The 23,409-nt window shown below is 42.0% G+C and overlaps 1 protein-coding gene across 6 annotated transcripts in view; it reads left to right on the top strand.

Moving 5' to 3' along the window:
* KREMEN1 (kringle containing transmembrane protein 1) overlaps positions 1–23,409 on the top strand; it is a 95,299-nt gene that overhangs the window by 10,602 nt on the left and 61,288 nt on the right. For 5 of the 6 annotated variants that reach the window (NM_032045.5, XM_011530429.3, NM_001039570.3 and 2 more), the window contains exons 2-3: positions 10,622–10,784; positions 15,226–15,317. In NM_032045.5, coding sequence (NP_114434.3) covers positions 10,622–10,784; positions 15,226–15,317 — 255 coding nt within the window. Of the gene's footprint in view, positions 1–10,621; positions 10,785–15,225; positions 15,318–18,088; positions 19,862–23,409 lie in introns of those variants that run through there. The other variant, XM_011530431.3, reaches the window with a different exon arrangement.

The raw sequence follows: 23,409 nt of genomic DNA on the forward strand, positions 1-23,409 counted from the left end.
GCCTGGCGAACATGGGGAAACCCTGTCTCTACTAAAAATACAAAAGTTAGCCAGCCATGGTGGTGGGTGCCTGTAATCCCAGCTACTAGGGAGGCTGAGGCAGGAAAACCACTTGAACCTAGGAGGCGGATGTTGCAGTGAGCTGAGATTGCGCCACCGCACTCCAGCTTGGGCGACAGAGTGAGACTCATCTCAAAAAAAAAAAGAAAGAATTCAGGACAAGTCCACAGAGTAAAGTGAAAAGGAGTTTATTAGAGAAGTAAATCAACAAAAGAATGGCTACTCCATAGGCAGAGCAGCCCCGAGGGCAGCTGGTTGGCTATTTTTATGGTTATTTCTTGACCATATGCTAAACAAGGGGTAGATTACTCATGAGATTTCCGGGAAGGGGGTGAGGAGGTCCCGGAACTGAGGGATCCTCTTTTTTTTAGGTCATATAGGGTAACTTCTGGATGTTGCTGTGGCATTTGTAAACTGTCATGGTGCTTGTAGGAGTGTCTTTTGGCATGCTAATATATTATAATTAGTGTGTAATGAGCTGTGAGGATGACCAGAGGTCACTTTCATCACTATCTTGGTTTTGGGGGGTTTTGGCTGGCTTCTTTACCACATCCTGTTTTATCAGCGAAATCTTCGTGACCTGTGTCTTGTGCTGGCCTCCTATCTTATCCTGTGACTAAGAATGCCTAAACTGGGATGTATCCCAGCAGGTCCCAGCCTCATTTTACCCATCTGCTGTTCAAGATGGAGTGGCTCTGACTCAAATACCTCTATTTTATGGGTTTATAATATGGTAAATGATAAATAAAAATTCCTGAACACTAATGCATATTCAGGATGACTATTCCTGGCAGAAACACACATGCTTCACAGTGACAAGCATGGCATGTTTTCCAGGGGGCCCTGCCTGGGTAGGAGTGGAGCATATGCAAGATGAGAGCCAGATGGGAAAAGAGTGGTACCCAAGCCACTGCATTCTGGACCTTCTCTGCCTTGATAATTATTTGTTTTTTGAATTTTTATTTAACAAATAAGGCCTTCTCTCCGAAGCGTTTTCATGGTTCTTCTGAATTCAAACATCTGGTCTTATGCTTACCCTGTAAGTTCAGTTTTTCTTATAATGGTCTTTTAAGTAATTAAATATTTCATCTCTTAGTAGAGATAGATAAACTGGAGATTCAAATAGAAGACCTCATGTCCCCTTCCAAAAGTATAAATTCTTTAGTTAAAGTATCTTTGAGAGGCATGGCCTTTCCTTCCGTACTGTTTTTAAGGGCACCATCTCCTTAAATGGAAAAGAAGATCTAAAAGGTATTTTAATAAAAAAGCTACTAGTACATAAAACATTACAGTGATTTTTGTTGTGGTAATTCCACTTTGGGCAAAAGGGCAGCTCGTTCTATGGTCATTTGGCACTGTTAACACATAATCCAAGAACGTGATATATGAGTATCAATTTTGATTTTAGATGGCTAACTTTATGGCCGAATTTGTTTATAGTTCTTGAAAAAAGGCTAAGGTAGATTAATTTCAAAATAACATGTTGGTAACTATTTTCAAGATGTTCTTTGAAAAATTTTTTATTATGGGAAATTTAGGACACAAATAGAGAAGAGAGTATAAGGAAGTCCCATGTATCTATCTCCCGACTCCCACAATTATTAACCATGGCTAATGTTATTTCATCTATACCCTCTTCATTCCCCTTACTACATTATTTTGTAACCAATTTCAGATATGTCACCTCATCTGTAAACATTTTAGTATGTATCTCTAAATGCTAAGGATTCCTTTCAAAAACATAGTAATAGTACCATTATTACACGTAGAAAAAAAAACAATAATTCCTTAATGCCATCAAATATCCAGTCAATGTTCAGATGTTCCTGATTGTCTTATTAGTATTTTTTACACTTCAGTCAGGATCTAAACAAGGTGTATTTAGGTAATGTGAGTCCTAAATCTCTATTAAGCCTTAGATTTCCCCTTTTTTTCTTTTCTTGCAATTTACTTGTTGAAGATGTAGTTTCTTTTAAGCAAGAAGAATGCCTAAGTAGGCCGGGCACAATAGCTCTTGCCTGTAATCCTAGCACTTTGGGAGGCAGAGGCAGGTGGATAGCTTGAGCCCAGGAGTTTGAGTTTGGCCTAGACAATGTAGACCCCATATCTACAAAAAATTAAAAAATTAGCCAGGTGTGGTTACACATGCCTATAGTCCCAGCTATGTGGGAGGCTGAGATGGGAGGATCACTTGAGCCCAGGAGGTAGAGGCCGCAGTGAGCCATGATTGCTCCACTGAACTCCAGCCTGTGTGACAGAGCAATACCCTGTCTCAAAAAAAAAAAGTGCCTAAGTGCCTCTCAGAGGGAAGGCCCACATGGGAGGTGAGGTTTTTTTTTTTTTTAACCATATAATTCTTACTTCCATTAGAGAAACGTAGAATTAGAGAATTTTAAGCCTGGAAGAGATTTTTAGCCATGAGTACTTTCCAGTCATATCACCCCAGACTTTTGGACCTGATTTTCATTTATTTAGATCTTGAACTTGAAATTGCAGACATTTACAGTGAAGGGACGTTGAGATAATCTGGCTCGACTCTCCTAATTTCACAGATGAGGAAACCAAGGAAGAAACTGAGGCCCAATGATGTCTGAGTGGTTTGTTCAAACCACAGTGTTAGCTGCTTCTCTGATATCATTTCCCCTTTATTGCACTGATTCTCCATATGTACTATGTGTGTACAGGGTTGTTGTTTTTTCCCTAAACTGTCCTCTCTCTATTCTAGATCTGATGACATTCCTCTATGTAATTGTAGAAATCACTGCTCTTGGAGAGCCATTTTTGAAGATGGGAGTGTGTCCTATCACAGCCTCAGTGGTGTTGGGTTGGAAAAGGCTGGGAACCCCTGCCTTCCCAGGGCCACATGCCCCTTTACTACAGGGTTTCACATAACTGAAATCAGCTTTCCCATAGTGCTTTTGAGTGTCTGAGGGCAAAGGGTAGTCTGCCCAGGGGCTTCAAAGTGGTGCAAGTTCCCACCGGGCACCAGTCCGTATTTGAAACCCAACAGGGCGATAGGTGTGCTATGTGAATATTTGACGGCACTGTCATGTTGCCCTCTCTCTATATATATCTTTTTTGAGATAGGGTCTCACTCCATCGCCCAGGCTGGAGTGCAGTGGCATGACCATGGCTCACTGCAGCTTTGACTTCCTGGGCTCCACCTCAGCCTCCCAAATAACTAGGATTACAAGCACACACCACCACACCCAGCAAATTTTTAATTTTAATTTTAATTTTAATTTTGTAGAGATGGAGGTCTCCCTATGTTGCCCAGGCTGGTCTTGAACTCCTGGGCTCAAGTGATCCTCTTGTCTTAGCCTCCCAAAGTTCTGGGATTACAGGCATGAGCCATACCCTCTAAATATTAAAAAAAGCATTTATACCTAAACCTTAGATTTCTATAATCTATCTACCTACCAAGTTTCATAGACTTTTTTAAAGAACGAAGGATATTCTCATTGGAATATGTTCTCTGCTGTCTTGCTTTAAGATGCTGTAATTGAATTTAATGTGAATTGATTCATGTTGATTTCAAGCCAGGCTAAAACCAGACAGATTCTTCCAACATAAGATCAGTAGAAGTGCTAAGCGGTCCCACAGAGAACAGAGACTTAACTTTGGTGGATTAAAAAAAAACAATGACTCTCATAAGCATCATATGTAGAGATCTAACTAGTAATTCTACCAGAAAACCAAGAATATAGAGAAAAATGTTGTATTTCTCAATAGTGTGTTTTTGGACAAATTAAGAATTACCTAGTTATAGAGTTTTATAGAGAGCATATTCTTCAGCTTTATTAAATCTTACCAAAGATTAGGATGTCTTTTAGATTAACTACTGTTTTCCTACCACTATCTTATACATGTCAAGTTTTTTTTTTTTTGACGGAATTTTACTCTTTGTTGCCCAGGCCAGAGTGCAATGGTGCGATCTTGGCTCACTGCAACCTCCGCCTCCCGGGTTTAAGTGATTCTCCTGCCTCAACCTCCCAAGTAGCTGGGATTACAGGAATGCACCAACATGCTCGGCTAATTTTGTATTTTTAGTAGAGATGGGGTTTCTCCATATTGATCAGGCTGGTCTCAAACTCCCGACCTCAGGTGATCCGCACACCTTGGCCTCCCAAAGTGCTGGGATTACAGGCATGAGCCACCACGCCCAGCCAAGTTTTAATTATTTTAAAAGAATACCTTGTTATAGTTTAAACATGAACTTTAAAACTGCAGAGCAGGTATTATACAACCTGGCAGAATTTTTCCTGGGACTCTATTAACTTGTGTTTTCCTCACTTATGATTAGTATAAATATTGAATTATGTGGTTTTAGTAGCATAAATAAATGAAGATGTGTTTCATCATATTTATAGCTGAAATTTTGATTAAGAAAAACCTATTTGCTCCTCTGTATCTTTTTCCCTTACCGCTTATCCATTGAACGCTAGGATTCAACACAGGATTCAAACCATATATATGTTCCATCTTGATGGTAGCCTAACTTTAAACAGAATTGTAGTAGGATGATGTGCCCACATACTCATGTTATCTTACCTTTTATAGCTAATTATTTTATGGACCAGAATAACGTGCGCACGCGTGCACGCGTGCATACACACACACACACACACACACACGCACACACATATTTTGAGATGGGGTTCCCGCTCTGTCACCCAGGGTATAGTGCCTTGGTGCGATCTTGGCTCACTGCAACCTCTGCCTCCCAGGCTCAAGCGATCCGCCTACCTCAGTCTCCTGAGTAGCTGTGACCACAAGCACACACCACCACGCTTGGCTAATTTTTTGTATTTTTGGTAGAGATGGGGTTTCGCCATGTTGCCCAGGCTGGTCTCGAACTCTTGATATCAAGTGATCTGCCCATCTCAGCCTCCCAAAGTGCTGGGATTACAGGCGTGGGCCACCGCACCTGGCCTCAGAATAACCTCAGTTATCATGATGCTTATAATATTTCTAAGCTTATATAAAGTTTGATTATTTTTATACCTTTATGATTATACAATAATAATTTTTGAATACCTACTATGTACCGAGTACTTTACTTGCACACGTTCCAATTCTTCCAACTGCCCTGAGCTGTAGATAATCAAATCTCTCATTTTGCAAGTCAAGAAACTGAGGCTCAAGGAGGTTAGGCAAGTGCTTGTAGCTTGTAAACTGAAAAGCTGAGGTCTGGCTCTAGAGCCCCTAACATACGCTTTCCATACTCTACCACATTGTTGCTAGAAGTTGTGTGATAAAGAAAAAAAAATTACTGAAAAAGTTTTCCTAGCTTTTCTCCTACCCCACAGGCTGTACTTTCTCAGTCATCATTGCCAAGTGTGGTATGTTGGAGGGCCCCAGGGCTCAGCCCCAGATGTTGGGGCTGATACACACAGTATCCTATTCTCTCTACACGTAAGTGCTGGGGACCATATTTCTAGCTTTAGCCTCAGCCTTTTTCCTCAACTCCAGACTCATGTAGCCATTTGCGTACTCTACATCTCCACTCAGTTTTCTGAAGATGTCAAGTTTAACCTATCCAAAACCAAACTCTTAATTCTACCCCAAAACACTCTGACCTTCCTGAGCCCTCCCTATTACAGTAAATGGTATCACTACTCAGCTGGTTGCTCAGGCCCCTTTGGTGTGCTGTGTGACCCATCTGTCTCTCAGACCCTGTATCCAAACCCCCAGCAAATACTTTTGCCACTACCTTCAAAATATATCTGGAATCGGTCCACTTCTCACCACCCCACAGCTGCCAGCCTAGTCCAGGCCATCCTTGTTTCTCGCCCATCCTTCTACAGTAACTACCTACTTTTCTCCCTGCCTAGGTCCTGCCTGTCAGTTGTTTTTCCTCCACCCAACAGCTAGACAATTCTATTAAAAGATAAGTCACAAAAATGAATAAATAAAGATAAGTCACATTATGTCATTCCCCTGCTCTAAACCCTCCAGTGGCTTCCCCTTACACTTAGAACAAAAGCCAAAATCTCATTTATCTAACCCTCAAGACCTTACACGTCCTGACCTTGCCTGCCCTTCCCTGCTCATTCTCCTGCTCCAGTCAGATTAGAGGAGCAGCTTTGTAGCTCCCCAAATCTGCCAAGCATATTGCCATTTGCAGGGGCTTTGCATTTGCTGGACCCTCTGCCAGTTACACACCTGCCGCCTCGTTCACTGGGTTTGCTTCCTCCCTTCATCCACATCTCTGCTCACTAGGCTTTCCCTGACCCACCCTAGGAGAGAACCCTCACCATTCCATCGTACTCCCTTTACTCTGCTTCATTCCTTCTAATAGCACTTATCACTATCTGATGTTCATTTTGATCAGTTTATTATAAACATGTAAGCTCCATGAATACAGGATATTTGTTCATCTCTGTAGCCCCAGTGCTGTGAACAGTGCCAGGCACATAGTATTGAATAAATATTTGCTGAACTAATTAATGAATAATTTCCTAGACATTAGATCTCTTGCTTTCACTCATTCTCTTTTCACTGAATACGTAAATAAACAGTTGGCTCTGTGTGTGTGTGTTTCTTACTGGTTTAAGCCGCTCCTTGCTTATTTAGCCAAAGCTTACATCAGTTTCGTAGCAGTAGAAAATAAGGGAGGCTGGGAGCTACATGATAGACCTTATGAACACAAAGAAGGAAACAGCAGACACTGGGGTCTACTTGAGGGTGGAGGGTGGGAGGAGGGAGATCAGCAGGAAGATAACTGTTGGGTACCTGGGTGATGAAATAATCTGTACAACACACCCCTGTGACATGAGTTTACCTGTGTAACAAACCTTCACATGTACCCCTGAACCCAAAATAAAAGTTAAAAAACTTAACATGATCACGATAGAAAACAGTGTGGAGGTTCCTCAAATGATTCAAAATAGAATGACCATATTCTAGCAATCTCAGTTCTAGGTATATATTCAAAGGAAATAAAATCACTGTTTTGAAGAAAAAAAATAAGGGAGGTAGGGTCCTATTTACCTAACATACACCCTAGTACTCTGATGAAATCAAGATGCGCTAGATGACTTTAAATGCAGAGCATTCGAGTTGGTTTCCCTTGCTTTTCTCTGTAATTGATATGTACTGGGCAAGTCTGGTCAAAAAACAATCACAGAATCTGATACACTGCCTCAGTTTCACCAGTGTAACTGAGAACAAGATTGGGTCTGAGAGGAACAGACCCAAGCAAAGAAGCCTGCACTTTCCCATTTCCACTCTCAGATGCCATCTCGTCTCCATGAGGACTGTCATGTGTGTGCATTTTATTTATTTATTTATTGAGACAGAGTTTCACTCTTGTTGCCCCAGCTGGAGTGCAAAGGCACGATCTCGGCTCACCACAACCTCCGCCTCCTGGGTTCAAGCGATTCTCCTGCCTCAGCTTCCCAAGTAGCTGGGATTACAGGCATGCACTACCACCCCCGGCTAATTTTGTATTTTTAGTAGAGACGGCGTTTCTCCATGTTGGCCAGGCTGGTCTCGAACTCCTGACCTCAGGTGATCCGCTCGCCTCGGCCTCCCAAAGTGCTGGGATTACAGGCTTGAGCCACTGTGCCCGGCCATGGATTCTTTTTATTACACATTCTGCTACATTCTTTTGTATTACAAACCAAGTCATCCGAGTCTCAGGAACCCCACCTGTCCTGCAGTTTGCTATGTATAGCTAAGACCTTCCATTGATCTATTGAGCTGCATCTCTGATTTCTGGCCCCTGGATCACCCTTCACACTTTAAAAAAAATTTTATTTTTATCCTATATATTTAAGGGGTACAGTATGATGTTTTGATGTACAAATTCTGATAGGAGAAAAACATGTATTAACACACAGCAATTAAAATTCTAGCAATTGGCAAGGGTTGGCTGATGTTCTTAGAATCATCTAGTCTAGTGGTTCTCAAACCTGATTGCTTAACAGAACCACCTGGGCTGCCTTTCAGAAATACAGGTTTCAGGTCCTGCTCTAGCTCTGGGATTGGGATAGAGCTCTGGTGTGTCTGGTGTGGTACATACCACACACATTGTCTCTCTCTCTCTCTTTCTCTCAGATCACATATATTTCTTGTGATAGTAAGTGTTGTGAAGCAAACAAAGGGCAGAAAAATAGGAGTAAAGATGATGAGAAGGGCTTTCTGAGAAGGTAGTGTTCAGTCTGTGATGGGAAGTATTAGGGGAAGAACATTTTGGGCAGGAAATAGCATAGTGTGTTCACAGAATTAAAAGCAGACCAGTGTGGCCGAAGCACAGCGAGTGAGTAAGGGAAGAGCTCTGCTTCATGGGAGGAAGGGGCTGAGGCTGCATCACAGAGGCCTTGCAGACACCGAGGAAGAGTCTGAGTTTTGTTTTGAGTGCCATCATTCTTTTAAGAACTATGGAGAATGGATTGTGAGAGAACAGAAGTGGAAGCTGTGAGACCCAAACTGTTCTCTGATGATAAAGGGGACTATACTGGTGGCATCAAAGATGGAGAGAAGGCAGTTTCAGGGTGTATGTTTTAGGGAAGTCAACAGGACTTGCTGACGAATCGGAAGTGGAGTGAGGGAGAGAATGGGAGAAGCAAGAATGATGCTGAGGAGGGTCCATTAGAGGCAGTATAGGGTGTGGTCGAGTGCCCAGCTCCCTTATCTGTAAAATGGGGTACTAAGGTACCTCTCTGGGTTGGTGGCAAGTTGACATTTGTGAAGCACTTAGACAGAGTTTGGCACATGGTAAAACACTGTGTAAATATTAGAAGTGATTTGGATGATGTTTATTCATCCAAGGTCGCACAGCTGGTCAGCAGCAGGTCCAGGACAAGAAGCCAAGGCTTAGTCTCTTGGTTTAGTGCATTTTATGCGACACTGAACTGCCTCCTTCAATTTATGCCTCCTTTGAACTTATTTGTGCAGACTCTTGGTAGAGGGGTTTGGTCCTTATGGTACACGAAGAGTTGCACTTATCATAACACATGAGCATTGCACCAAACATGATAAATTGTTAGGGTTGGTGGGGTGTGGTGGCTGACACCTATAATCCCAGCACTCTGGGAGGCCCAGGTGGGTGGATCACTTGAGGTTGGGAGTTTGAGACCAGCCTGGCCAACATGGTGAAACCCTGTATCTACTAAAAATACAAAATTAGCTGGGCATGGTGGTGGGTGCCTGTAATCCCAGTTACTAGGGAGGCCGAGGCAGGAGAATCGCTTGAACCTGGGAGGCGGAGGTTGTGGTGAGCCAAGATTGCAACACTGCACTCCAGCCTGGGCAACAGAGTGAGACTCCATTCAAAAAATAAAAATAATAAAAAATAAATTCCTAGGGTTTCTTGCATAGGTGGACATTCAGATTATTTTGGCTATCCATAAAATGGTGCCATTCCAGACAAAACACAGGGCCTGGATGGTCAGAGGAAGGAGGTGCTGGAAGAGAGATGTTCTGTGGATAGTTTGAAGTATTAAAAGAAATATCTGCCAGAATGTGTTCATGTTGTTCACACGCTTAGACTGGAGTAGGCACATGGATGACAACAGGAGATGGCATTAAGAGTCCTTAATACTGGAAGTTATAGGTCAGTGCATGCCAGGAGAAGGAAAGAAATGCAGCTAAGAATGCTAGTGTAACTCCCCCAGGTTGTCAGTTTTCTAATGATATATCTTAAAGAAGTGTTTGAAGTGCTTCTGTCAGTTTCAACTAAGCTAATTTTAAAAAATTGTTCTTTGTACTGTGCCTGTCTCATGAACCTCTTCGAGTTTAATGCATGCAATATGTGGGTGAAAATCCTATCAGCCTCAGTCCCCATCCCCCAAAGTCTGAGAAGCAGATTTTAGAAACACATTGTTGCACCTGTGAGGATTTGTCATTTTATTAAATTGGACCTGAGACCATTTTCAATGTGCCTCATCAAAAGAATTTCAGAAAGAGGTGAGAGAAAATGCCAGCCCGGCCCTTCCTCCCTCATGTTGACTGTCTGTTTTGTTCCACCTCTATCTCAAACAGCATGGGGAGGACTGTTCTTCATTACCAGGGAATGTGAGTCATTCCCAGATTTGTGTGATTGGGATTCCAAAGCATTGCTGTATCCGATGATCTTATTAAATCCAAGTGTCAGTGCAGCCTTTCAGACTGTAGGGAAGAGCTCAGTTACAGCTGGTGACCTGGTTCCAGTTACCACACAGAGCCACTGGCGAGAGCAGTGACCCCCTCAGAGTATCCAGAATTCCACATGGATGGCTGTTACCAACTGTTCCCAGATTTAGGGGTTTCCTGGTTCACTTCATGGGCTTCAGTACACTTCAGCTCCCTGTTTATTTCCTAGTTGGGATCTGTATACTTTAGGGGAAAATGTTCTAGTGTCTGTAGACAAGCTAGTGCCAAGATTAGCCTAGCTTTTTGAGGGTACCTTGTTTCAGATTTATTCAGCCCCAGAAGTGTTAACTGCACTGTGTCCAGGATCTAGCAAGACACTATCCATTTCCAGCTTGGTCCAAACAAAACAAAACATCAACCAAAGAGGGAGGAAACCATGAATGTTGCCAGAAAATTAGTTTGCTCTGTCTTTTTTTTCTTCTAGAGTGTTTCACAGCCAATGGTGCGGATTATAGGGGAACACAGAACTGGACAGCACTACAAGGCGGGAAGCCATGTCTGTTTTGGAACGAGACTTTCCAGCATCCATACAACACTCTGAAATACCCCAACGGGGAGGGGGGCCTGGGTGAGCACAACTATTGCAGGTAAGATGGGGCCACTCAGTACTTTAAAAAGATAGATATATATCTAGTCTCTTCTTCCAACCCCTTTCATCCCAGCTCACAACTAGGGGAAGTCTTTTGACCAACTCAAGAGACTTATCTTGTCAGTTTTAAAAATATTTCTTTCACACCTTACACACACACACACACACACACACACACACACACACACACACAATTTACCACTCTTTTTTTTTTTTTTTGAGACGGCGTCTCGCTCTGTCGCCCAGGCTGGAGTGCAGTGGCGCGATCTCGGCTCACTGCAAGCTCCGCCTCCCGGGTTCACGCCATTCTCCTGCCTCAGCCTCCCGAGTAGCTGGGACTACAGGCGCCCGCCAACACGCCCGGCTAATTTTTCGTGTTTTTAGTAGAGACAGGGTTTCAACCGTGTTAGCCAGGATGGTCTCGATCTCCTGACCTTGTGATCCGCCCGCCTCAGCCTCCCAAAGTGCTGGGGTTACAGGCGTGAGCCACCGCGCCCGGCCAATTTACCACTCTTTTCAACATGGGTTGTTTTAATGCTGGCTTTGAAAGCTCTGCTTTTCTGTCTGATCACTTCCTTGTCTCTTTGGGAGGGTTTTCTTAGTTAGCCCTACCACCAGTGGACAATACACAGTTAGCAGAGCAGCCTACACTACCGAGAATGTCGTGGTCAGACAGCACCATGTGTGACCCAAATCTCCCTCTGCTTCTGAGCAAAGGAAGCTGCCTACATTGTTGTGCCTCCGGCCAGCCCAGGATAACCTTGCTCTGGGAACAGCTGTATCCATCAGATGTGTGCCATTTACTTCCTTTTAGTCGACTAAGGTGTTTCTTTGCTTTTCACCTCCCGTCTGACTCTAGCAGGGGATCTTAACCTGACATCTATGGTGCTTCAAAAGTGATTCACAATTTCCTGGGGATGATCCATAGCTTTGATCAGCTTCTCAAAGTTATCTGTGATTGAAAACAAGTTCAGGATCACTGGTATGTAGGGTCCAGAACAAAGACTGTAAGCACTTTTGGTTATACATTTGTGCTGCTTATGCCCAAGATCCTGGTAATGAGACTTATGGTTCAGCAATGCATTGAATTTAATTATTATTAGTACAGGTGCAAAGGCAGCCTCTTGAGCTACTGGGACAGGGAAAAATGATTGTTGAACTATATACCCTGTCCCTGGTTCTACATACATTGGAATCTCAACCATGGCACTGTTGACGCAGCTGAGCCAACATATATTTTCCTGTATTGTATGGGCCACACTGTTTACCTTCTGCCCTCTACATACCTTTGCTAACGCTCTAGGGCCCTTGTAGTTGTCTCAAAGTCACCAGGCCTTTAGTCTATGTTTTCTTTATCCCTATACCTTTCTCTATCTTGTATCAACTGACCATTCCCTCCTAGTTGCTATTGACTTATTTTGTTTGTTATAAAAGTGTTAAAAGCTTATTCTTAAAAAAAAAAACTTCTCCAACACCACAAATATATGTGGTTTAAATAGTTAAAATTCCCCATTTTACCTATTTTCCCTGAAACCCTCCCCACCAAGTCCCAAGTCCCAGAGACAACCAATTTGGGTATTTGCCACTTCACATTTTGCTATCTGTTGTATTTTATTGTTCAAGTTACACATGCTTATTAAATAGTTCTTTTATATTTTATTTTCCAAGTTATACATGTTAATTTATTTTTTGCATAAATTAAAAAATTAGTCCCACCCCATTTTTTATTACCTTCCCCTAGGTTTTCTATTCATAGGAATAGTTGGTTGGGTTGGGAAGAGTGTTTAGGAAGAGAGACAAGTATTTGGTTTTTGTTTTTCCATAGTTGCTTATCTTCTTGTTCCAAAATATCTCTTGGTAGTAGGCTGTTGGTTTATTCTATTGCTCTGTTGCTTCCTATCAAGCAAGTCTTCTCAGAAGAGCTCATGTTTTTAAGTCTGACTTTAAGGTAAATTTTAAGTTTCCAGTGAGGCCTAATTTATGTGAAAAATTTTTCTTTCTTGTGGATTAGCACCCACTTCTACTCACAGGCTTCTAGAAATGTACCCATAAACATCCATTAAGAGAGCAGTGAGAGCCAGGAGGGACCACCTTTCTCCTTAGCCCTGATCAGCCATCACATCAAACCCTCTCGTTTGATTTGATGGAATGCAGGAGACCTGAACTATTTAATACCAGTTTATACTTTGGAAAAGGGAGGCTGAAATTGTTGATTATCACATCAAAGAGCCCAGGCCTTTTGTTTTAGCACTGCAGCAAAGTCAAGGATGAATTTGCTTGTTCTTTATTAAGCTATTCTGATGCTTTTCAATATGGTTTTGACATTGATAATAAACAGTTTTCTAAGGGCTTTACCAAATAAATACATCAAAGCTGAACACCGAATAGAGGGAGGAAAATGACAATGAAATACTGTTTAAAGAAGGGCTTTGTACAAGTTCTCCTACTTTGATTTCTCAACTGACACCCGACACCATGTTTGTCTTGTGTGACTTTTTCAGACCCATCACATTAGAGATGTCTGAGAGTTGGTGAGTGATGGGAATGCACTTTTCTGGGCTCAAAGTAACTGGCTTAGAAGGGAAGGCAGAGACTGGGGAAGAGCAGAGTTGGTGCTGGCACCTGCCTTTGGGCACAAGAAACAAAAGGACGCTTTGTACTTTGGGAAAGCTTATCTTCTACGCCACATGACAGGCTTAGCCCACTCTGGCCTGATAGGGGTTGCTCCCAGCTCCTGCTGCAGGATCTTTATGCCCATTTCCGGCCTAACCGGAGTGTCAGCTTTCCAGTGTTCTGAGTCTAAATAAAAGGGGCTTGGAAAGCGGTGAAGAGAGGCGAGCCTTTTCTGTGTGTCCAGTAGCCCCTGCCATTTTATTTATCTGCTTCAGTAGTGTTGCTTGTTATTGTTATGCCACCTATGAGTTGAAAAGACCTTAAAGCATGTATTTATTCCAGGCCATTCTCATTTAGAAATGTGAAATAGAGCTTTAAAAAATATTATCTCCATATCAGAAGTTGATACCTCATGACAGGATCACAAGTTCTAGCTGAGACTCTGACGCAGTTTTCTTCAGTATTCTCTGAGGAGTCAGCATTTTGAGGAAGGAATAGCACCCATTTCTAGCAAATGTGAGCCTCGTCCTGGTGAAAGTTTGTCAGTGGAGTCTGTATTTTATTTTTATTTTATTTTTTTATTTTTGAGACGGAGTTTCGCTCTTGTTACGCCTGGCCCAGTGGAGTCTTTATTAAGTGAATTTTGTTTTACTGTTTAAAAATTACACCATTGGAGTATTCACTATAGAGGAAATAAAATAAAACCAGAAAAGAAAAAAAGCTGAAATCACCAGTAGTTCCAGTGTCTAGAGATACTTTATAAGAGTTTGGTGTACATTCTTTCCTAAATAAGTCTTTTCAAAACATGGAATTATGTCATCTATTGGGTTTTATAACTGCCTCTTTAAAAAAAAAATCTAATAAGGCTGGGCACGGTGGCTCACGCCTGTAGTCTCAGCACTTTGCGGGGCCGAGATGGGCAGATCACTTGAGGTCAGGAGTTGGAGACCAGACTGGCCAATATGGTGAAACCCCACCTCTACTAAAAACAAAAATTAGTCAGGCATGGCGGCGGGCACTTGTAGTCCCAGCTACTCGGGAGGCTTGAGGCAGGAGAATCGCTTGAGCCTGGGAGTCGGAGGTTGCAGTGAGCCGAGATCATGCCACTGCACTCCAGCTCAGCCTGGGTGACAGATTGAGAGTTTGTCTCAAAAAAAAAAAAGCCTCATAAGACATTGTGAATATATTTGCAAATTAATAAGACTGGTCTCTATACCACATATTCCCTTCTATGGATATACAATTTATTTAACCAAACCTTTATTGTTGGATATTTGCTGTTTCCACCTGTTTTTTATATTATAAAAATGTTTTGTTGAACATCTTTATAGGTAAGATTTCCTTAGAATAAATTCCTAAAGAGGAAATTGCCAAGTGGAGGGTTTGCATATTTCTAGGGCCTTTGGCTCTAATTCCCAAATTGCCGCTCTGACCATTTGTGTCAGTTTGCATATTCATCAGCGGCATTGAGAGCCCCTGTGCTTACTCAGCCTTGGAATCTCCATGCTCACATTCAAGGTGCCAGTGCTATTTGGCATGATGTGTGCAGTGGCCATTTGTCCTAGTTATGCTATAGTGAATTTGCCCAAACATATATTACCTTTACTCACTTCCCCCCAAACTCTGAAGTATATGTCAGAATAGATATGTTTGTTCTTGTAATATTACCATTTTTTCCCTTTTGATGAGAGATGGCACTGAGATACAGACCAACTATTAGAAATAATACAGAAGCTAAAGCATTTCCTTTTCTGTAAAACTGAAAAGCAATGAACCAGTTGAATTAAAACATCAGAAGTCATCAATTGTGTCCTTTTCCCCAACAGAAATCCAGATGGAGACGTGAGCCCCTGGTGCTATGTGGCAGAGCACGAGGATGGTGTCTACTGGAAGTACTGTGAGATACCTGCTTGCCAGAGTAAGACTGTAATACCCAATGTGATGGTTTACAGGACTGTGAACACTAAGAGTGCGTAGAGGGAGGCCCCTGCCAGAGGTCAGGTAGTTAGGCTGGTGGATTTCATGGAGCATGTGAAAGGAGAAGCCATCCTGGGCGAGGATTTTCACTTCTCTTGTTGAGGCTTTTCAGGAATAGGAATGCTGATTTCCTTAGCACCTCATTCTAAAGGTATTCCCTTGATGGGTAAGCCCCATGAGAATTCCTACTTTTGGTTAATTTCTGATTCTTTCAGGTATAGAGAGGGCAACCGCTCAGAAGCAGCCTAGGGGAGAAAAATATCTTGTACTTTTTGGAATGAACATCTTTATACATAGTGAAACTCAGTTATGGCACTACTTATTACTTGGATTTGAATGGGTCCCCAGAAGTAATATTTGATAAATGCCTTGCTAAATACCATACAAAGCTCATGTGGTAGTTCTTTTACCCACATTAGCCTAACATGTTCTACTGTTTATAATAATAACTCACAACCCAATTTCTTCAGCCTTTTACTAAAATGCCTGTTTTCTAACTGTTTCATTCATTTATTCCCGTATTCACTTTTTTTCCTTTTTTTTTTTTTTTTTTTTTTGTGACAGAGTCTGGCTCTGTCACCAGGCTGGAGTGCAGTGGCGTGATCTCAGTTCACTGCAACCTCCACCTCCCAGGTTCAAGTGATTCTCCTGCCTCAGCTTTCGCAGTAGCTGGGACTGCAGGCGTGCACCACCACGCCCAGCTAATTTTTGTGTTTTAGTAGAAATGGGGCTTCACCATGTTGGCCAGGATGGTCTCGATCTCTTGACCTCGTGATCCGCCCGCCTAGGCCTCCCAAAGTGTTGGGATTACAGGCGTGAGCCACCACACCCGGCACCTGTATTCACTGTTTATTATATGCAAACTACAAAGACAATAGGATACCCTGACCCTCAGGAGTGTATGGTATAGGATGAATCTTAAAAAGATACAGTCATGCACCACACAAAACAGACCACATATACAATGGTGGTCCCATATGGAGTATCTCAACTGATTGTTCAGTCAGTTACAGATCACACTTCTTTTTCTACTCTTCTTTCTTCCTTCTTTCTTCCCTTCTCACTACTACACTTGACTAGTCTTTTTTTTTTTTTTTGAGACAGAGTCTCACTCTGTCTCCCAGGCTGGAGTGCAGTGGTGCCATCTCAACTCACTGCAACGGCGCCATCTCGGCTCACTGCAACCTCCGCCTCCTGGATTCAAGTGATTCTCCTGCCTCAGCCTCCCGAGTAGCTGGGATTACAGGCATGTGCCACCACGCCCGGCTAATTTTGTATTTTTAGTAGAGACGGGGTTTCTCCATGTGGTCAGGCTGGTCTTGAACTCCTGACCTCAGGTGATCCGCCCGCCTTGGCCTCCCAAAGTGCTGGGATTACAGGCGTGGACTAGTCTTTATATATGTATATAAAGATTATAATGGAGCTGAAAAATTTCTGTTGCCTACTGATGTTGTAGCTGTCATGATGCTGTAGTGCAACACATTACTCATGTGTTTGTGGTGATGCTGGTATAAATAAACACACTGCACTTCCAGTCACACAGAAGTATAACATATACAATTATGTACAGTACATAATACTTGATAATGATAGTAAACAACTATGTTACTGGTTTATGTATTTACTATACTATACTTTTTACTGTTATTTTAGACTATATTCCTTCTACTTATTAAAAAAGCAGTTAACAGTGAAACAGCCTCAGGCAGCTCCTTCATGAGGTATTCTAGAAGAAGGCATTGTTTTCACAGATGACAGCTCCATGTGGGTTATTGTCTCCTTCCAGTGGGACAAAATGTGGAGGTGGAAGACAGTGATATTGATGATCCTGACCTTGTGTGGCCTAGGTTATTGTGTGTGTTTGTGTCTTAGTTTTTTTAAAAAAGTTTAAAAAGTAAATGAAAGTAAAACATTTAAAAAATATAATAGAAAAAACCTTATAGAAGAAAGATATAAAGGCTGGGCACGTTGGCTCACGCCTGTAATCCCAGGACTTTGGGAGGCTGAAGCGGGCAGATCACTTGAGGCCAGGAGTTCCAGGCCAGCTTGGCCAACATGGCAAAACCCCATCTCTACTAAAAATACAAAAATTAGCCAGGTTTGGTGGCATGCACCTGTAATCCCAGGTACTTGGGAGGCTGAACAGCAAGAATCACTTGAACCTGGGAGGCAGAGATTGCACTGAGCTGAGATCATGCCACTGCACTCCAATCTGGGAAACACAACAAGAGTCTGTCTCCAAAAAAAAAAAAAAAAAAAAAAAGGATGTAAGGGAAGAACATATTTTTGTACAGCTATACAATGTGTTTGTGTTGTAAGCTAAGTGTTATTATGAAATAGTCAAAAAGCTAAAGTAATTAAAAAGTTTATAAAGTAAAAAAGTTATAGTAAGCTAAGGTTAATTTATTATTCAAGAAAAATTATTTTTAATGAATTTAGTGTAGCCTAAATGTTCAGTGTTTATAAAGTCTACAGTAATGTATGGTAATGTCCTAGGCCTTCACATTCACTCACCACTCACTCACTGACTCACCCAGAGCAACTTGCAGTCCTGTAAGCTTCATTCGTGGCAAGTGCCATGAAATAGGTAAACCAATTTTTATCTTGTATACAGTATTTGTACTGTACCTTTTCTATGTTTAGATATGTTTAGATACAGAAGTACTTACCATTATGTTACAGTTGCCTACAGTATTCAGTACAGTAACATGCTGCTCAGGTTTGTAGCCTAGGAGTGACAGGCTATCCCATTATAGACTAGGTGTGTAGTAGACTATCACATCTCAGTTTGTGCAAGTGCACTCTATGATGGTCACACAACAACAAAATTATATGACAATGCAGTTCTCAGAGCGAAACCTTGCCTAAGAGATACATGACTATACTTTTAAACAAGGTAAAGAAAATACTGTGTGTAGAAAGGTCTTGCAGAAGGTTTGAACCACAGAAACTAAAGCAAGATCTGCTTCTATAAGGAGTCTATTAATGTAGTATATATAATGTATTTTAAAATATGCCAGAAGAGCTCAGTGCCTAGAGCTGAGGAAAAAGACAGTGAATTCGTAACATCCTATCTGGGTTATTTTTTTCTTATTATTTAAACCTGCTCTTTGCATTGCCCTCTTTCTCACCTCTCAGGTCAGGAGTCTTGTGTATGGGATCTGGCAACCCTTTCACTGATACCTGGAATAGCATCTGAATGCTGAGGCCTCCAGGGGGAAAGGCAGCCCCTGACCAGTGCTGCAGACCTAGTACTCACCTTTTGCTTAGCTTCACTATCCTTCCAACCTGAGTGTGCCTTCATCCAGTCCCCAAACTTAGAAAACAGTAAAGACCAGAAGAATGGGCTTTTGCTCAGTCTGCTTAATCAAATTTTTAAAATGAAAAACATCTCATTTGCCTCTAGTTATGTAAAGAAGAAAGAAGCAGAGGGAGAGGAAAGCAGATTTTCCTCGGTCCATTTGTTCAACACAAAGATAGTCTTTTAGTACCAGCCTGTGTCATTCTCTTGGGAGTGGTAAAGAGGGGGTTTCAATCTGGGCACTTTTATTTGGAAAGATAATCTTTGACTTGCATTTCTAAAATACAGTCTGGGCCAATAGGGACTGATTCATGTGGTCATTGAAACCAGGTTCCAGAAGAAAGAATTATAACAAAATGCTATAAACCGCTTAGTATGCCTCTAATTTGTAATATTTACCGGATATGCTTTCCTGTTCCAAAAAAGGAAAATTAAATATTATTTCAGTTTTTCTGTGGCCCCTTGATAACCCTCTAAAATCTCTAAAGCTAGCCTTGAGATGGTCTGGGCAGAGAGATTTGTAGAAGTTGGGAATGAGAGCTCTATAGTACCTGGTTTCTGGGGATAGAGGGTGGGTGGTGTCTGGCTTTGGTTCTTTGGAAAACCCTTCAGTTTACCCTGTGGGGACCAGGGCTCCCCATCAAGCCGGACCTCAGACATTGAGTCTGGCAGCATATTGTACTTCTAGTGTGTCTGATTAACATAGTTGAGCAAAACCTGTTTTACAGTTTGTAGCAAGAGATGTTTGTAATTGCCTGGTGGATTTAACAGAGATACAGCCATCCTATTTTAGGCCACTTTTGCCCTATTTCTGGATGTGGAGTCACAATTTTCATGAATAATACTAAACCTCTGCATGAAGCCTGCTATTCATGATTAGTATTGAACTTGTCATACAGAAAAAGTCCTGTGACATGATCAGATTCCTGGAAAGTTCATATCTGAATATAACAGACCCAGCAGGAGCCAGGGGGAATGAATGTTTAGGGACAAAGCAGAATCTGGCTGAATGGTGGGCCATTGTGTGGAAACCAGATCTCTGCCCCTTGGTGTGTTATGTGTAGAGCTACAACAAGCAGGAGGCAGACCTGAAGTACAACTCAAATGGGAGCAGAGGGAAATCTGAACTGCTCTTGACCTGCAGAGCATGGATCAGAACTTACTGTTAAAAGAACAACTCGGAGGTAATTGGATTTGCCCCTGAAACTGCTTTTGCCAGAATGTTTCTCAGAAACCCTAAGTTCTTATTGCAGCCAGGAGAAATGCAGACTTCAAAAGCAAATTCCAACGTCTTCGGGTTTAACATGTCTCTAGATCCCACGCTTTAGATCTCTAAGGCCTGTTGGTTTGACTATTGAGAGCTATTTTTTGTTTGCTGAAAAACATTCCCCCAATTTCTACAAACCCAGCTATAAAAATTCATCTTTGAAATAGGGACATTTGAATACAGACTGAGTATTAGATTATATTAAGGAATTACTGTCAATTTTATTAGCTACAATAATGGCGTGGTGGTGAAGTCCTTTAAAATTACAGATACTGAAATATTTGTGGTTGAAATGACATAATATTTGGGATTTGTTTTAAAACAATCCAGCCCCCCAAACAGTGACTAGGTAGGGGTAAGGGAAATAGATGAAACAAGAATGGTTTAAAAAAAAGTGGATTATTTGTTGATGCTGGGTGATGGGTTCATTATTCTTTCCCACTTTTGTGTATGTTTGCAACTTTGAATAATAAAAATTTAAAATTATTTTTATAATATTTTAAATATAAAGAGTAAATAAACACAGCATTCTGAGTATCTAGATTCAAATATGTAACATGATTAACCTAAATTGTAATTTTTTTTTTTTTTTTTTGAGACAGAGTCTTGCCCTGTCACACATGTTGGAGTGCAGTGGCGAAATTTTGGCTCATTGCAGCCTCTACCTCTAGGCTCAAACAGTCTTCCCACCTCAGCCTCCTGAGTAGCTGGGCCTACAGGCACATGCCATCACACCTGGATGATTTTTGTATTTTTTGTAGAGACAGGGTTTTGCCATGTTCCCCTAGCCGGTCTCATACTCCTGGGCTCAGCAATCCTCCTGCCTTGGCCTCCCAAATTGCTGGGATTGCAGGCATAAGCCACCACACCCAGCCAATTGTAATAATTTTACACATAGCCCACAGGTATCTGATGTCATTGTTAAAGTTAGTTATTAAAGTTTTAGTTATTAAACTTGCTAAAACTATTAGTTATTTAAAGTTATTAGAACTATTAGTTATTGAGGTTAAAGTTAGTAAATAAAGTTTAAAATCACAAGAACTTGGCTGGGCGCAGTGGCTCACGCCTGTAATCCCAGCACTTTGGGAGGCCAAGGTGGGCGGATCACCTGAGGTCAGGAGTTCAAGACCAGCCTGGCCAACATCTCTACTAAAAATACAAAAATAAACTGGGCGTGGTGGTGCACATCTGTAGTCCCACCTATTCGGGAGGCTGAGGTAGGAGAATCACTTGAACCTGGGAAGCAGCGGTTGCAGTGAGCTGAGATGGCGCCATTGCACTGCAGCCTGGGCGACAGAGCAAGACTCCATTTCAAAAAAATAAATAAAATAAAATCACAATAACTTAGACATATTTAGAAGTTATTAGTTGTGTCAAATGACATTTCTTAAGCTCTGACCATCTGTCAGACCTTGTACAAAACGGGGGACACAAGGATAGTATGTTCTGCAGCCTGTGGGGAATCCTCAGTCTGGGACAGAAGACAGACAAATGAACAGATAAGCATATGCGAGATACTCTATAATAAGTGAGGTGAGCAAAAGGTTCGGAGCACCCAGGAGGGCCATCTGTCTGGCATGGTAGGGAGGCAGGGGCTACTGTCTGTTGAAGAGGGCTTCTGGAAAGAGTGGGGTCTTGTTTAGGGCTTCTCTACTTTAAAGTACATCCAGTCACCTGGGATCTTATTAAAATACAGATTCTTATCAGTATGTCTAGAACAGACCCGTTACATTTTTAACAAGGTTCTGGGATGCCAGAGCTGCAGGACTACACTTTAAGTAGCAAGGTTCTAGATGTTAGGGCTGGGTGGGTTGGGGTAGTAAGGGCATTGGAGGCAAAGGGAACAGTTTGTGCCCCTGCATGTGCATGAGCGTGCGTGTGCGCACACACACACACATACACACACACACACACACACACACACACACACACTCTGATGAATTCCAAGCAAGTTGGTGTTGCTGAAACATAAATTTTAAGAAGAAAGGGGCAGGAGATGAGGTCTGAGAAGTACACAGGGCTAGATGATGTCAGGTCTTATGGTCTGGGTATGAAGCCTGGACCTGATCCAGGAAGATGATGATGAAGCTGAGGTGAGGGCTGAGTGTCTGAGGGAGGCATTTCTCCATAGTTCGTTGAGCCTCTGTATTAGGGATTTGGGTCAAGATTTCCCACTTTTAACCTATGAGAAGTTCTCTAGTGATTGTATCATTCACACACATCAGCCCTAAGAGGATGCCAGCAGTTGCACTTCTGCAATACGTGTGGAACCTTAGGTCCATCTCAGCTGGTGACCTCACCAGCTCAGGTTTCTTTTAACTAAATAATACCTGGACTTGTTAAAAATAGATTTAAAATAGATTTCAGATGTTAGTATTTGCCTTACAAAAGTCAGCCCAAAAAATAGGATGTGAAAGGTTCCCATTATCCCTGATAAGGGTTTTTAAAACTGTGTTTAGAGTATGTGTAAAAAGCCAAGGGCACTGTGGCAGTGGTGGTCAAGGCAGTTTCTCAATTATAGAAAATGTTTTGTTTCTGTCAGCACTTTCTGTGTTTTAATGTCAGCACTGCTTTCTAGTATGTTTCAGCTATTGCTGAGTACCTACTATGTACAAAAAGCACTTATATTCACATTATCTTTTTTTTTTTTTTCTTTTTGAGACAGAGTCTCACTCTGTCACCCAGGCTGGAGTGCAGTGGTGTGATCTTGGCTGACTGCAAGCTCCGCCTCCCGGGTTCACGCCATTCTCCTGCCTCAGCCTTCTGAGTAGCTGGGACTCCAGGCGCCCGCCATCACGCCCAGCTAATTTTTTTTTTTTTTTGTATTTTTAATAGAGACGGGGTTTCACCTTGTTAGCCAGGATGGTCTCAATCTCCTGACCTCGTGATCCGCCCGCCTCGGCCTCCCAACACATTATCTTATTTAACGTTTTCAACAATCCTATGAAGCAGGTGGCATGTCTACTCTCCCGCCTCCATTTCTCAGATAAGAAAATTGAGCCCAGATAGTTAAGTGATTTGATGAGGATTACAGTCTGAGTCAAACAGGATTTTTGACCAGGACTCCTGATAGCTAGACCAGTGCCTTTTCCTTCTAGCACTTGAGAACAGTCCCATTTCCTTTATTTCCTTGAAAACAGGGGCTCTGGGATGGATTCCGGCTACTGTTGAGGTCATTCTTCAGAATTTTCTTTGTGAATTGTTTGGGAATTAAAGTTTGAAATTCTGATAGTATGGTGAATTATTAAGATTGCTTTTGTGACATTGTGGAAACCAAAGGGTTAACTCAGTGGCGACAGAGGGTCTGCAGTTCATGCTGTTAGCTCTAAGTCATTTTATTTTCTTCTTTGGCTTTGGGAAATCCTAAGCCCCAGGAGTAAAGCAGGCTGAGATGGGATCTGGGAAGCATTTGCTGCCCAACAGAGCCACTCTGCAGTATGCTGGGCTATCTCTGTGGGTGTCCCC

Source organism: Homo sapiens, chromosome 22 (genome assembly GCF_000001405.40).
Source record: "Homo sapiens chromosome 22, GRCh38.p14 Primary Assembly".
Classification (NCBI taxonomy): domain Eukaryota; kingdom Metazoa; phylum Chordata; class Mammalia; order Primates; family Hominidae; genus Homo; species Homo sapiens.